Source organism: Homo sapiens, chromosome 7 (genome assembly GCF_000001405.40).
Source record: "Homo sapiens chromosome 7, GRCh38.p14 Primary Assembly".
Lineage (NCBI taxonomy): Eukaryota > Metazoa > Chordata > Mammalia > Primates > Hominidae > Homo > Homo sapiens.
Genome location: NC_000007.14, coordinates 110,526,202 through 110,538,836, shown reverse-complemented (window position 1 = coordinate 110,538,836; position 12,635 = coordinate 110,526,202). Strand labels below are relative to the sequence as shown.

Below are 12,635 nucleotides of genomic sequence, written 5' to 3'. Positions count from 1 at the left end.
GAATAAAAGTGCCAGTTCTTTACTCTGTGACTGGAGTGATGTTATTCATTGAGGAAGGGGGTCTCCTTTGGGATAAAAGAAATGCTGAAAAATAGTAGAATTAGAATTGAGATTTTAAATAGATCAGAGAATTGTTTTATGAAAAGAAAGCTAAAGTAAAATCAGGAACTAGGCCAGATGCCCATTTGCTTCAGAATCCTAGGACTTCTGGTTTTTAGTTCAGCAGAGCTTGAACAGAACTTACATGCATTGTCTAGTGCACACTTCCAGAGGCCCTGGTGCAATAATTACAGAGGACACCCAGATATGTCAGGTTGAGTCCATGTTCTCAAGGAATTTACCTTTTGTTGAAGGATATAAAAGGGGCAGACATAAAAATAATATAAAGCACAAAATGAGAAATTTCTCATCTCAAAAATAGTACTGCACAGACTCAGAAAGGGAGAGATTTCACTTAACACAGAGAACAAGGAAGGGCTTTCTGGAGGATGGGGCTTTGAGATCGGTCTTAAAGAAGAGGTAGAATCTTGATAAAAGAGTTATATTGGGTAGAGTCTAAACAGAGATTACAGATTGCAATGAATTGAAAGGGTTGGGAGTGCTGAACTAGAATTGGATTCAATTGTAGGCTATTTAGAGGGCATCAGTGAAAAACCACGCTGGGAAGGTTTATTGGGACTTTGCAGATGGGGAACTGGAGTGACAGGAAAGGAAAACAGGCAGAAGAGCCCTTGAAAGCTTTTGACAGGCAGATGATTTGGTACATGAGCGTGGGTATCTGATAGACCATGGATGTAAATCCATAGCCTGCTCTTTATGTGATGAATTTCCTTGAGCAAGATTATATTTCTTGGAACATTTATCTTCCTCTCTACAATAAAAATAAAGATTTTTAGTACCTACCTCCAGGAATTATGATAATCTGATAAGATAATGATGTTGCTCATTGTACAAAGTAGATGATCATTAAATGTTTATGATTGATGTTGTTATTGATGCTGTGATTAGGAGAGATTTATCTAACAGCAATGTATACAGTAGATTTGGAAAAGGATATACTAATGGTAGAAAGGCCAATACAGAAGCTAGAAAGAGATAAACAATGAGAAAATTGAATTTATATGACTTAGCAAAACAGATTTTTACAAGACATTGTGAAAAGAGAAGAGTCAAGGGTAACTCCAAAATTTGATCTTATTTGAGGAGGAAATATTACAAAGCCAGGTTAAGTTTTTCTCATGGAGAAGATGAATTAGATTTATGACATACCGAGTTTGTGGTTTGGATATTAACATATCACTTAGATATGTTCAAAAGGCAGCTGGAAATACAAGTCTGAGGTTTAGAAGAGAGGCTGAAGTTAGTGCAATGAGCTTGGGAATCATCTCCTGAGAAGTGATAGTTAAGGACTTTGCAGGGAATGACATCACCATGGGCTACTGTATAGGGACAAGAGGGCTGAGAACATAATTCTGGGGATCATCTTCATGTGGGGCCCATCAAGGAAGAAGGAGAACATACCAAGATAAACCTACTAACACAGTCTCATGAGAACCAACCAGAGAAACAAGGGGTTTGGAGAAAAAGGAGATGTCTACCCAAGACACAAAAATGTCAAGTGGATGAGGATTCCAAGAAACTTCCCTTAAATTTGGTAAAAAGAAAGGCTTTGAAAGTACAGTGCGAAAAAGCATTGGGAGTAGAAGTTAGAATGTAAGAGATTTAGGAGTGAATAGAAAAAATGAATATAGACTATTGGAAAGAAGGTTAGTAGCAAGGATAAAAAAATAGAACTTGAGTTTGAGATGATAGCAAGAAAGGGGAAGATTTTTAAACTGAGTGTGTGTGTGAGATGGTGACGGTGATGGTGTGGGATTGGTGTGTTTGTAGACAGAAAGACTGGAGAAGACAGAGCCAAATAAGAGAAGAAAAGGAAACCATTTCCTTTGCAGAAGGTCCAGAGTGACATCTCAGCTATTTAACAAGAATATTTTTTGGTCAGAGGCTCAGGCTACTTAATGGACCCAACTATATTATGGCTGAGGGAGTGATTCCATGGATAGAGTTATAGTGGACAGTTTGAGGAGGGACTGCACAGGAAACAGCAGTGCATGCTCTCAGAACAGCAACAAGATTAGATTCACAAAGGCCCAGGCTAAAACAGTGTCCTTACCACTTACTAGCTATGTGACCTTAGCAAGTTTCTTAATCTTTGGAGACTTCAGTTTCCGTATAAAAGAAAAGAAAAGGAATTTAGAGGTCCCCTTCTATGTTTGTTTTAGGCACACAGAAGTTGCTAAATTTAGTGTAAATTACCATGAATAATTAGATATACTATTTACATTTTAATTAATGTTGTAACTTTACTATTAATACTCCATCACCGTATTTTTTCCCAGTCATTAAGTTACTCCTTCATCCACTGCAGTAATAAGTTAATACCTGCTTCCAAGTGAACTGAGAAAAATCACTGTACGTGCCTAAGAGTAACTGATCAATTTTCTTTCTTATTGTCATCAGGAATTAATCTAAGATATTGACTCAGCATTTACTAATGTGTATAATATTATGCAATAAAATATAACATGATTAATTGAAAGTGAAGAAACCCTTTTTTCTCATTAATGAAGTCATATATATAATTATCACCTTTTAATGTCATGTTCTATCATCTTAATTTTACATACATACACTGAGAATGAACTTATCAGAGCCCAGGTATTCCTCATGAACCTGACGGAGAGTGGTTTCCCCTTGTCCATATTGGGCTCTTATTCTGAGGGAATCTAGAAGACTTGGCAGACAGCCAGTTAATGTTCATATGTAGTAGAGGTTTTGTTTTTTGTAAATCTTTCTTCATTTTGAATTAGAAAAAAGCATTCAACAACCTATTTCGAATATCCACATCATTAAAAGCCCATCCTTTCTACTCTTCCCACTTGCACATTCCCAGTAGAAATTCATGGATGGTGAAGTGGGTCATAATTTTGTAGAAGGATCTAAATTAGGCACAATCTAAAAATAATAAACTTCTAAGAATGAGGGCATCTGACATGCTACACACAGGGCCACTGGAAAGCTGCAGTGGACTGATGAAAATAGATTTATTTTCTGATACCTTTAAGATTCTATATTGGCTCTCCCTCTTTGATTCATTCAAGGAGATGGCATTATTCAATAATGGATACTAACAGGCTTTTCTAATAAAGCCAGATTTAGAGAAAATAGATTTAATGTGAATTAGGGTTTTCATGAGACTTGAAGATCCCCCTAATATTATAAAGCAGGAGTTTTTCTTCTTTCACTTTTTAAAAATGGGGAGAATCTATTACATATTCTAAATGAAAGCTTAATCCAGAAATGTAATAAATAAGATGGATTAAAGTGGTAGTGCTCTGCTAAGGGTTGGGGTCCTTTTTTCTACCTTCTGGACTTTAAACTCTTTGAAGTTTAGGGCAGTGTTTGGGAAGCCAGTAAAACCGTAAGAGGTTTTCTCTATAATGTTTTTACTATGAAAGATTACTCATTAGCATTAAAGTTATCAGCATTTTGGCAGGTAGTAAGTAGGGAGGAAAAATAGGTGATTTAGGAGTTTGTCCATCTAAGTAATATAAAGTGACAGGAGGAAAATTTGCATGGGAAACTTTGAGTAACTAAAGACAGTAGGAAGATCTCTGGTACTAAAGGGTTGGGCTGAAGCAGGGGATAAGGAAAGAAGAATTATAATAACTTTTACTGAAATCCTACAGGGTGCCAAACATGCTAGTAACATTTAATCTTTACAACATTGCTGTGAGATAGGCATCATATCCATTTTACAGGTTGAGAAGTTAAGGCTCAAAGAGTTTAAATGACTTGTCCATTGTTGGTAAATAGCAGAGTTTGGATTTCAGCCCAAGTCTGTTTAACTCCTGATCTCAGATAATTCACTAAGTAGGACAAAGGGTGGAGAGAAGGAGACATTCGCTGACTTTGAAGATCTCTATTGACATCTCAGTTTTGTCTGGTGCTGTCTCTAGATGTTGTGCCTCCTGGTGAGAGAATGCAGGAGTTACTCAGCAAATATTAGGCTAACTCTAGGCAGATGCCTCCTTGTTCCAGGCTGACAAGCCCGGGCTTGTGCTTATTTCACTGTCTAACCCTGCCCAGGCCCCGGGGAGAAGCCTGGTATTCTTCGTGTTTATTTAATTGTCAACTCTCTGTGTTCTAAGACGATACCCTGGCCTTGACTCAGTACAACCTAGGACTGTAAGTTAAACCTATTTTTCTTTTCTTTCTTTTTTTTTTTAACATTAAAAAAATATCTTCTTAGCTTATGACTGAGTATTCAGGCTTACAGGGTAGAATGTTAGAGTTGGAAGTGTCTTCAGGGGTTATCTCACCACTCCTTGGCTCAGAGCCCAGGATGCTGAGTTATCTGCTGTGTGGGGTAGTCAAACCAGGCATGTGGGGCTCTGTGAGCTCTGTCACCCTCTGGGTTGATGGCAAGAACACAGATCTAGCTGCAGTGGCCGTAGACACTGGGTGTGGGTCCAGGATTCGGTGTTGGTAAGAACCTAGCAAGAAGAAGGTGAGGCCCAGGGCAAGGGCCTAGTATATGAGACAATTTATTAGGGGACTTAGGCACAGGGAACAGGAGAGGGATCTGAGTGCCAATTCTAGAATAGAAAGGGGGCCTACGTTTTTTGGAAGATAGGGGTCTGTTTAAGAGTATTGCACGCCAAGGCTGATAAAACATAGCAAATGTGGCTCAATGATGAGTGTTGGGTTTGTTCCCTGAATTCCTGGACATCGGTTTTCAATGAAACAGGGCAAGTAGTTGGTGGCCTTAGCTTCCTGTTTACTTCTATTATCATGAGTGTGGGAGCCAGGCAGGGCCTAACATGACTTCTTTGAGGGCTAATGAGTACAGCTTTGATTCCAGGCAGAACAAGACTCATATCCTACCTCTGTTAGTGGCAGAATGTATCTGTATGGGTCTGCAGCAACCTCAATTCTTGCCTCCTCAGAAGAAAGAATTTGACTGAGAGGCATAAGGCAGAAGGAGAGACCGAGGCAAATTTTAGAGCAGGAGTGAAAGGAAGTAAAGTACACTTGGAAGAGGGCCACGCGGGTGACTTGAGAGATCAAGTGTGCAGTTCGACCTTTTGACTTGGAGTTTTATATGTTGGGATACTTCCAGGGTCTTGGGTTACTTCTCTCCTGACTCTTTCCTTGGGGTGGGCTGTCCACATGCATAGTTGTGTGCTGGTACTTGGGAGGGGATGCATGTGCAGTGTGTTTACTGGAGTTGTACGCATGCTCACTTGAGGCGTTCCTTCCTTACCAGTCTAGCATTCCTAGAGGAAGGTCATATACCTATTAAACTCTGCCATTTTGCCTCTTAATGCACATGCTTGAGCCCAGTAGCCCAACTCCTGAGATCTTATTAGGAAGCTGCTGATCACCAGTTTCAGGTATTTTCTATCTATTGGGAGACTGCCTTTCCCTGGAGCTGGCTGTGACCAATTATTACCTTAGAGAGACAGTTAACTGCTCGACCATCACCTAATGGTTGCCTGACACTCCTGGTGTGTGTGTGTGTGAGCCTTCTCCTGCCCTGTTCATGCCTGACTAGCTACCCACTGTAACACCTCTACCATTTAATACACACTTGGGGGATTATTTAATGTCTCTATTCCTCAGTTTCTCTACATACAGAAGAGGGATAATAACAGCACATCTTTCAGAGGGCTGTTAAGATAAAACAAGATGATACATGTAAAGTGCTTAGAATACATATGGTATTAATTTATTAATATTGTGTATTGATGACGTTTGTTATTGTTAACAGTGGTTACCTAGATCAGTGCTACACAGGAATGGTGAATAAATAACGTGCCCCACTCTTGTGTCTTGTACGTACTTTGCTAAGAGGTTACGGCATGTGTTCCTAATGAACCTAGATGTAGCATCAGAATTATTCTCCATATTGAGGTTTAGGCAGTCCCTACTGATACAGTTTGGATGTTTGTCTCCTCCCAATCTCACGTTGAAATGTGATCCCCAGTGTTGGAGATGGGGCCTGGTGGAAGGTGTTTGGGTTGTGGAGGTGGATCCCTTATAAATGTGTTTTTTCTCTAATGAATGAGTTCTTGCTCTATTAGTTAGAACCAGAGCTGGGTTGTTTAAAAGAGCCTGGCACTTCCTCCTGTCTTTCTCTTGTTCCCTCTCTTGCCATGTGCCATGCCTCCTCCTCCTCTGTCGTCCACTCTGAGTAAAAGCTTCCTGAGGCCTCACTAGAAGCTGAGCAGATGCTGGTGCCAGGCTTGCACAGTCTGCAGAACCGTGAGCCAAATAAACCTTTTTTTATTTATAAATTACCCAGTCGGAGGTATTCCTTTACTGCAACACAAAACAGACTAATACATCTACCATTCAATTAGGGCTGGAAATCTATTTGATATATTTGTCCCCTAACAGATGGACATCCAGCTTTTAAATAAACTTTTCACTCTCAATGAACTTATTGCCTGAAAAAGCCATCCGTTTCTCATTAGATACCTCTAATTACTACACAGTTGGGGTGGGGACTCAATATCTACTTATCGACTTATTTAATAAAAATATAAAAATCCACAGGCTTCTCTCAAAATCTACAAAAGATACTTATCTTTACTACCATATTATATTCACAAATACATGTTATATCTTGTATGAACACCTATCAAGCTTTAGGTTCATACTTATTATTAGGTTGGTGGAAAAGTAGTAATATTCAAAGAAATTGTCAGATATGTCTTCGTAGGTGTTAATTTGCATTTGGCAGCTGGCCTTCAACAAAAAGTTCAATATCCTTCTTGCAGCTATGACTTTGACTTTTATTCTTGGCAAGATAAATACTGTTCTAATGCTTTCTCTTTTAAAAATATCACACTCACATACAAAAGTAGCAACAGCAGACAAGACCTGAACTTTCTATAAAATAATTTTGAATTGGTATACTATCTTGTAAATCTAAACATAAATTTCTAATTTAATCATGAGGTTCAATTACTTCTATAAAAAAAACAGAATAACTGAAAACCAAAACTTCAACAATAATAGACATATTTGAGCATTTTGGTTGGAATGCTTCAGTGGAAACATGGATTATCAGTTTCATTTAGATAAAATTGTTAGTATAGTCATCCCTCAGTATCCACAGGGGATTGGTTCCAGATTGCACCCCACCCTGAACACCCCAGGATACCAAAATTCATGGATGCTCAACTCCCTTATATAAAATGGCATAGTGTAACCTATGTATATCCTCACATATACTTTAAATCACCTCTAGATTACTTATGATACCAAATATAATGTAAATGTCATGCAAATAGCTGTTATACTATATTGCTTAGGGACTAATGACAAGAGAAAATATGTCTGTACATGTTCAGTACAGACTCAACCATTCTAGGCCCAGCTGCATTTTTGATCTGTGGTTGTGAAACCCACAGATACAGAGGCTGACTATATTTCAGAGGAATGAAAAACAAAAAAAGATACCTGCAGCCTTTGGTGGTGGTGTTGTTTTCTTCCTCCTTTATATAAATTCTGAATCTGTTCTTCAAATGTTTCAAAGAGATAATATGGGCAGAAGACTTTTTTTCCCCATTTTATTTTGTTTTTGTAACCTCTTCATGTCCAGTCTAAAACAAACAATTTCCAAAATTCAGAGTCACAGTCTAAATCTATTCCCGCTTTGATGATTCCCCAGGAGGTCTGTGTCTACATGGCAAGAAAAGAGCCAGCTGATTTGACTTTTTCTGTAGAAAAATATAATATTTTATAATGGCATATAGATAGTAACAATTTTGGGATACTGTAGATAATATTTTTTCCAAACTAATGGGTTATAAAATAATCAATAATAATAAACATTTATTAAACACTTCTTAAATGTCAGAAGATTAAATCTTTATCTTGAATTATTTCACTATCTCTCCAAGGTGACTTGTATAAACTTAATTTTACAGAAGAGGAAACTGAGGCTCAGAGAGGTTAAGCCACTTGCCCAACACCTCTCTGTTAAAAAGCCTCTTTTTTAAAGAGTGGAGTCAAAATTTAAAGAGGTCTGCTTAGTGTTGCCAAACTTCACCTTCCACTGAACCATCCTGAGACCTACCCAGATTGAAAGACTGCTTATTGGAAGTGAGAACCTGAGAGAAGAAAGGCATGTCAGGTCCCCAAAGCCTATTTTGTGTGGGAATTACAGTTGCTGCACGTCTGATTGTACATGCCATAAACACAAGGGAAAAATGCTTAAAAAGGGGAAAATACTCAAAAATGGAAGAAGACAGAGAGCTGTAATCAACCCTCAGTTTCCAGACCCTCAGGAGAGTTCTTCTGTTCATTTTACAGCTATCTGTGGTTTTATTACACCTTTAATTGGCTAGAACCTTTAATTATGGTTAGGTGAATCCATTTGTGTGAAATAACAAGCATAAACTTTCTTCCATTTTCAAAATGAACATTTGTGCAAATCCAGAATTTTTTTTTGTTTGCCACTGTATGTATTCTTTAGTCTCCCATTTCTATGTAATTTGTGACTTTCAGACTTCCTATTATTAGCTGTGGAATGTGACAGGTAGAAAAAGGCACAAGGTCATTTCATTATTCTTTGAATCAGTTTCAGGAACATTACTTTCTTGGGTTAAGAAAAACTGATAGCTTGTGATTTAATTTTCTGTCTTAAATATCTTCTTTCCTGATAACATTCCTTCTGAGGCTTGATTCAGTGTAAATGCTAAAGCAGATATCAAATTTCTCATTGCATTCTACATTTTACTTTTAAAAAATATAGATTAAAAAATAAAATTCACACCTGATTCTGGGAAGATAGCATCAATGGCAACATAATTTTTGGATCTGAATCCTCATATAGAAACAGAGAGACGGCCAGGCACGGTGGCTCATGCCTGTAATCCCAGCACTTTGGGAGGCCGAGGTGGATGGATCACGAGGTCAGGAGTTCAAGACCAGCCTAACCAAGATGGTGCAACCCCATCTCTACTAAAAATACAAAAATTAGTGGGGTGTGGTGGCACATGCCTGTAATCCAAGCTACTCGGGAGGCTGAGGCAGAGAATTGCCTAAACCCAGGAGGCAGAGGTTGCAGTGAGCCGAGATCCCACCAATGCATTCCAGCCTGGGCGACAGAGCGAGACTCCATCACACACACACACACACACACACACACACACTCACACACACACACAAACAAAAAAAAACACAGAGAGACTAGAAAACAAAAGCAAAAAGCCATGTTTGATGCTGGCAACAATACTAGGCATCACCACAATCCCAAGAACCCCATAGCCCAAAGTACAGGCATGTGGGAACCAACCACCAGAAGCCACCAAACTCATGAGAAATAGGAATTTGTTCAGTGGAAAGTGAAGAGAAACAATGTGCCCAAACACAACGATGTTGTGCAATGATTCAGGCTTTCATGCTTTGAACTTGTGTAGGGAGAATAGTGTATACAAAGTCAGCGGAACTGGCCCATTATTGAGTTTTATTGATCACTTCAAAGTGTTAATAAAAAGCTGAGGACAGTTGACAAATAATTTAAAAACTATGTAGTCCAAAAGGCTTCTTTGGTAGAGCTTATAAAGAGGCCAGTATTTCTTGCTACAGGAAAACAGAAAACCAACTGGAACCAAACCCACTCTCCCAGGGAAAGACACTCTGCCCCTCTAGGCTGCAAGAATCCCTCTTGACATCTGCTCCTACTTTTTTTTCCTGGCTGCCCAATCAATAGCTGGGGTTAAGTTGCGGCATAGCCCAGCTAGGGACATGCTGGGTCTCATAAGAGGAGAATGGAGCTATACTCCAAAGGACTGCAAGAATTAGCCAGTATGTACTAGAAGAAGCTGCTGGAGAACCCACGGGACTGGATTTTGAGGGTGCTGGACCACAGGGATCAAAACATAAGACCGAATAAAGAAGACTTTATTGACTTGAGAGAACTCTCTTGGGATGCAACATGCAACACTGACAAGGACTTCAGAAAATGGTGCAAACTACTTCTTAGTTGCTCCTAAAAACCTAGAGAAAGTCGTTGTTCATGTTGAGTGAAATGGAAATATCTCAGTTGCAATAGTAAAGGGCAGAGCAAGAGGTTTAAAATGTCCCCGGAAGTGGGCATATTGGAATGGCTATAATATGTGAAGCCAAAAGACCTGCTAGAGGATTATGTTCTACGGAAAGTCCCAGAGGACACACCACTCACCAAGGTCATCAGGAATGTGATGATGATAAGAGAACAAGCATCACCAAGAGATTCAGTGGTGGCTTTCCTCTGGAAAGCAGGACTGATGGTAGGAGACACTATTATAGAGATTGACTTGTTGATGATAGCAATGTGAATGACAGGGCCCTAAAGTAATAGAGGCCAGGTGGTGGCACTTAACCTCCAAATGTCATGAAGGGGCAGCCAAGTGGGCTTGACCTGCAAAGAATTGTAAAGATGATCAATAGACATGACGTTCTCAGGGAAAAAACATATGGATAGCCAATAGGTTCTCATGAATATACATAATAGCAAGGAATTTGATGGGTAGGAAGTAAGAATGAATGGGCAAGAGACTGAGAGAAAATTCCCCAATAAAAATTCATACTCTGTATCCAGTTTCCAAACCTAAGCCATTTTCCAGACCTAGAATTCATTGACTGAAGTGGTGGCTAGGTTTCCAAGAGGAAGGACCTGGCAACACCATGACAAATATATGTTGTAACGATTCTCCCAGCCTTTTACCAAAGGACTTATGGGCCAGTGGGTTTTAAGTCTAAAGAATGAATTTGTATTGGGGCAATAACAACAAAAACAAAAAAGCAAAAATCAACTTCCATCAGCATCTAAACAGCCATATGTTCCATAGGTCAAATCTAAACCTTGTACAAATTTTTCCAATTTAGTGTCACAGTGGTTGGTCCTGTGACAAAAATGGCATGATTCATCTGATTGGATAGACTGTCAAGTGGCTTAGTGATCTGATATTTTGTAAAACACAACAACCATTTTCAGCCGCTACTTTTCAGTATGCTGCCTCTTTCCCTCTGTCTTTATCTTCATACTGAATCTATAGAAGTCTCCAGCAGCAGATCCAGGCTCAGTCAATTGCTAAGGCAGTTCAGGATGGAGTAGAAAGATGCTGGAAGTCTCAGTCTCATGCTAACATCTGGTGGGCCAAGGATGGCCCGGAAGGCTATGGAGCTTCTGAGTTGCTCAACATTCTCCATGTTTTTCTTGTGTCTTTTTAGCCCAGTTCTACAATTGAACTTCAGTTTTTCCCCTAATCTGTTTCTCTCTGGTAAGCCTGCTCAGTTTTCTAGTCTCTCTCATGGGTTGGGGTCCCAACTTGAATTTGTTCCACTAATATAGTCTGGTTCTTGCTGGCCAATCTCTATCCTGTTCCCCAATTTATAGATGAGAGAGGTTATGTTTCTTGAAACCAATCCTCTACATTACAATGCTACTACCTGTTGTCTTGCCAGGAACCAGCTGCCCCTCTATTCCTCTGATAATCTGGGTTCCTCTACCCCTTTTGACTCTGCACCAAGTACTTTCTTGTTGCCTCAGCTAGATGCCTTGATCTACTAATTGGGCTTTCTGGAATCCAACGCAGGTCCTGGTTATTTTCTTTACATTTTAGCCTGGTCCTAGTATGTCTCAGAAAGTAGTCTGGTATTTTTGTGACATATCAATAGAAAACAAAAGCTTACTATTTGTCTATGTTAATTTTATTTATTAGTACTATCTGTGTGAATAAAAAGAAATTTGTCTTTTTATTTTCATACAATAGTGAAAAAAAATCCAGTTTTGTGTGTTGAATTTGAAGACTTTCCCTGTCTCAAGAACTGTGATGTGTCTGAGATTTTACCCTACCTGCAAGCTAACATGTTTGCTTGCTATAGTTCCATGGATACTGGCAGAAGATGTGTGATTTGTGGTCAGAGACAGAGGACTCTATTACTTATAACAATAGCAAGTGGAATGAGCATCCTATTTGCATCAGTTCCTCTCCTCTCCCTGTCCCATGTAGGTAATTCAAAGAGATCCAGAGGAATGCTGTAAACACAGGGGGCTTGCATCACAGGTGAGGAATCCTGAGTTAGGGAACTTGAATATTTTATAAGGGACAGTAAGCCTGCCTGTCCTTTTCCCCAGAGGAAGACATTATCTTTTTTTTTTTTTTTTGAGATGGTGTCTCGCTCTGTCGCCCAGGTTGGAGTGCAGTGGCGAGATCTTGGCTCACTGCAAGCTCCACCTCCCGGGTTCATGCCATTCTCCTGCCTCAGCCTCCTGAGTAGCTGGAACTACAGGCGTGCACCACCTATGCCCGGCTAATGTTTTTGTATTTTTAGTAGAGACAGGGTTTCACCGTTTTAGCCAGGATAGCCTCGATCTCCTGACCTTGTGATCTGCCCGCCTTGGCCTCCCAAAGTGCTGAGATTACAGGCATGAGCCACCGCACCTGGCCAGAAGACATTATCTTTATTATACAGGGCAGTAAATAAACTTTCTGCTTGCTCTGGAGGGAGATACTATCACCATCTTCCAAGTGTGTTCTTTCTACAAATATCCTCGAAAAGATAGTTTGGGACTA

General features: G+C 39.5%; 1 long non-coding RNA gene across 1 annotated transcript in view, besides 1 other annotated feature; it reads left to right on the top strand.

The window, feature by feature from the left end:
• Positions 3,673-4,872: an enhancer, noted in NCBI's record as "MED14-independent group 3 enhancer chr7:110174022-110175221 (GRCh37/hg19 assembly coordinates)". NCBI's record gives its function as "activates an origin of replication core promoter dependent on BRD2, BRD4, P300/CBP and CDK7 cofactors, and independent of MED14, by STARR-seq in HCT116 cells {active_cell/tissue: HCT116}" and the evidence as "EXISTENCE:reporter gene assay evidence [ECO:0000049][PMID:35650434]".
• LOC105375451 (uncharacterized) overlaps positions 4,120-12,635 on the top strand; it is a 173,872-nt gene continuing 165,356 nt past the window's right edge. Inside the window, exon 1 of the long non-coding RNA XR_927863.3 lies at positions 4,120-4,248. This is a non-coding gene — a long non-coding RNA (uncharacterized LOC105375451). The remainder of the gene's footprint in view (positions 4,249-12,635) is intronic.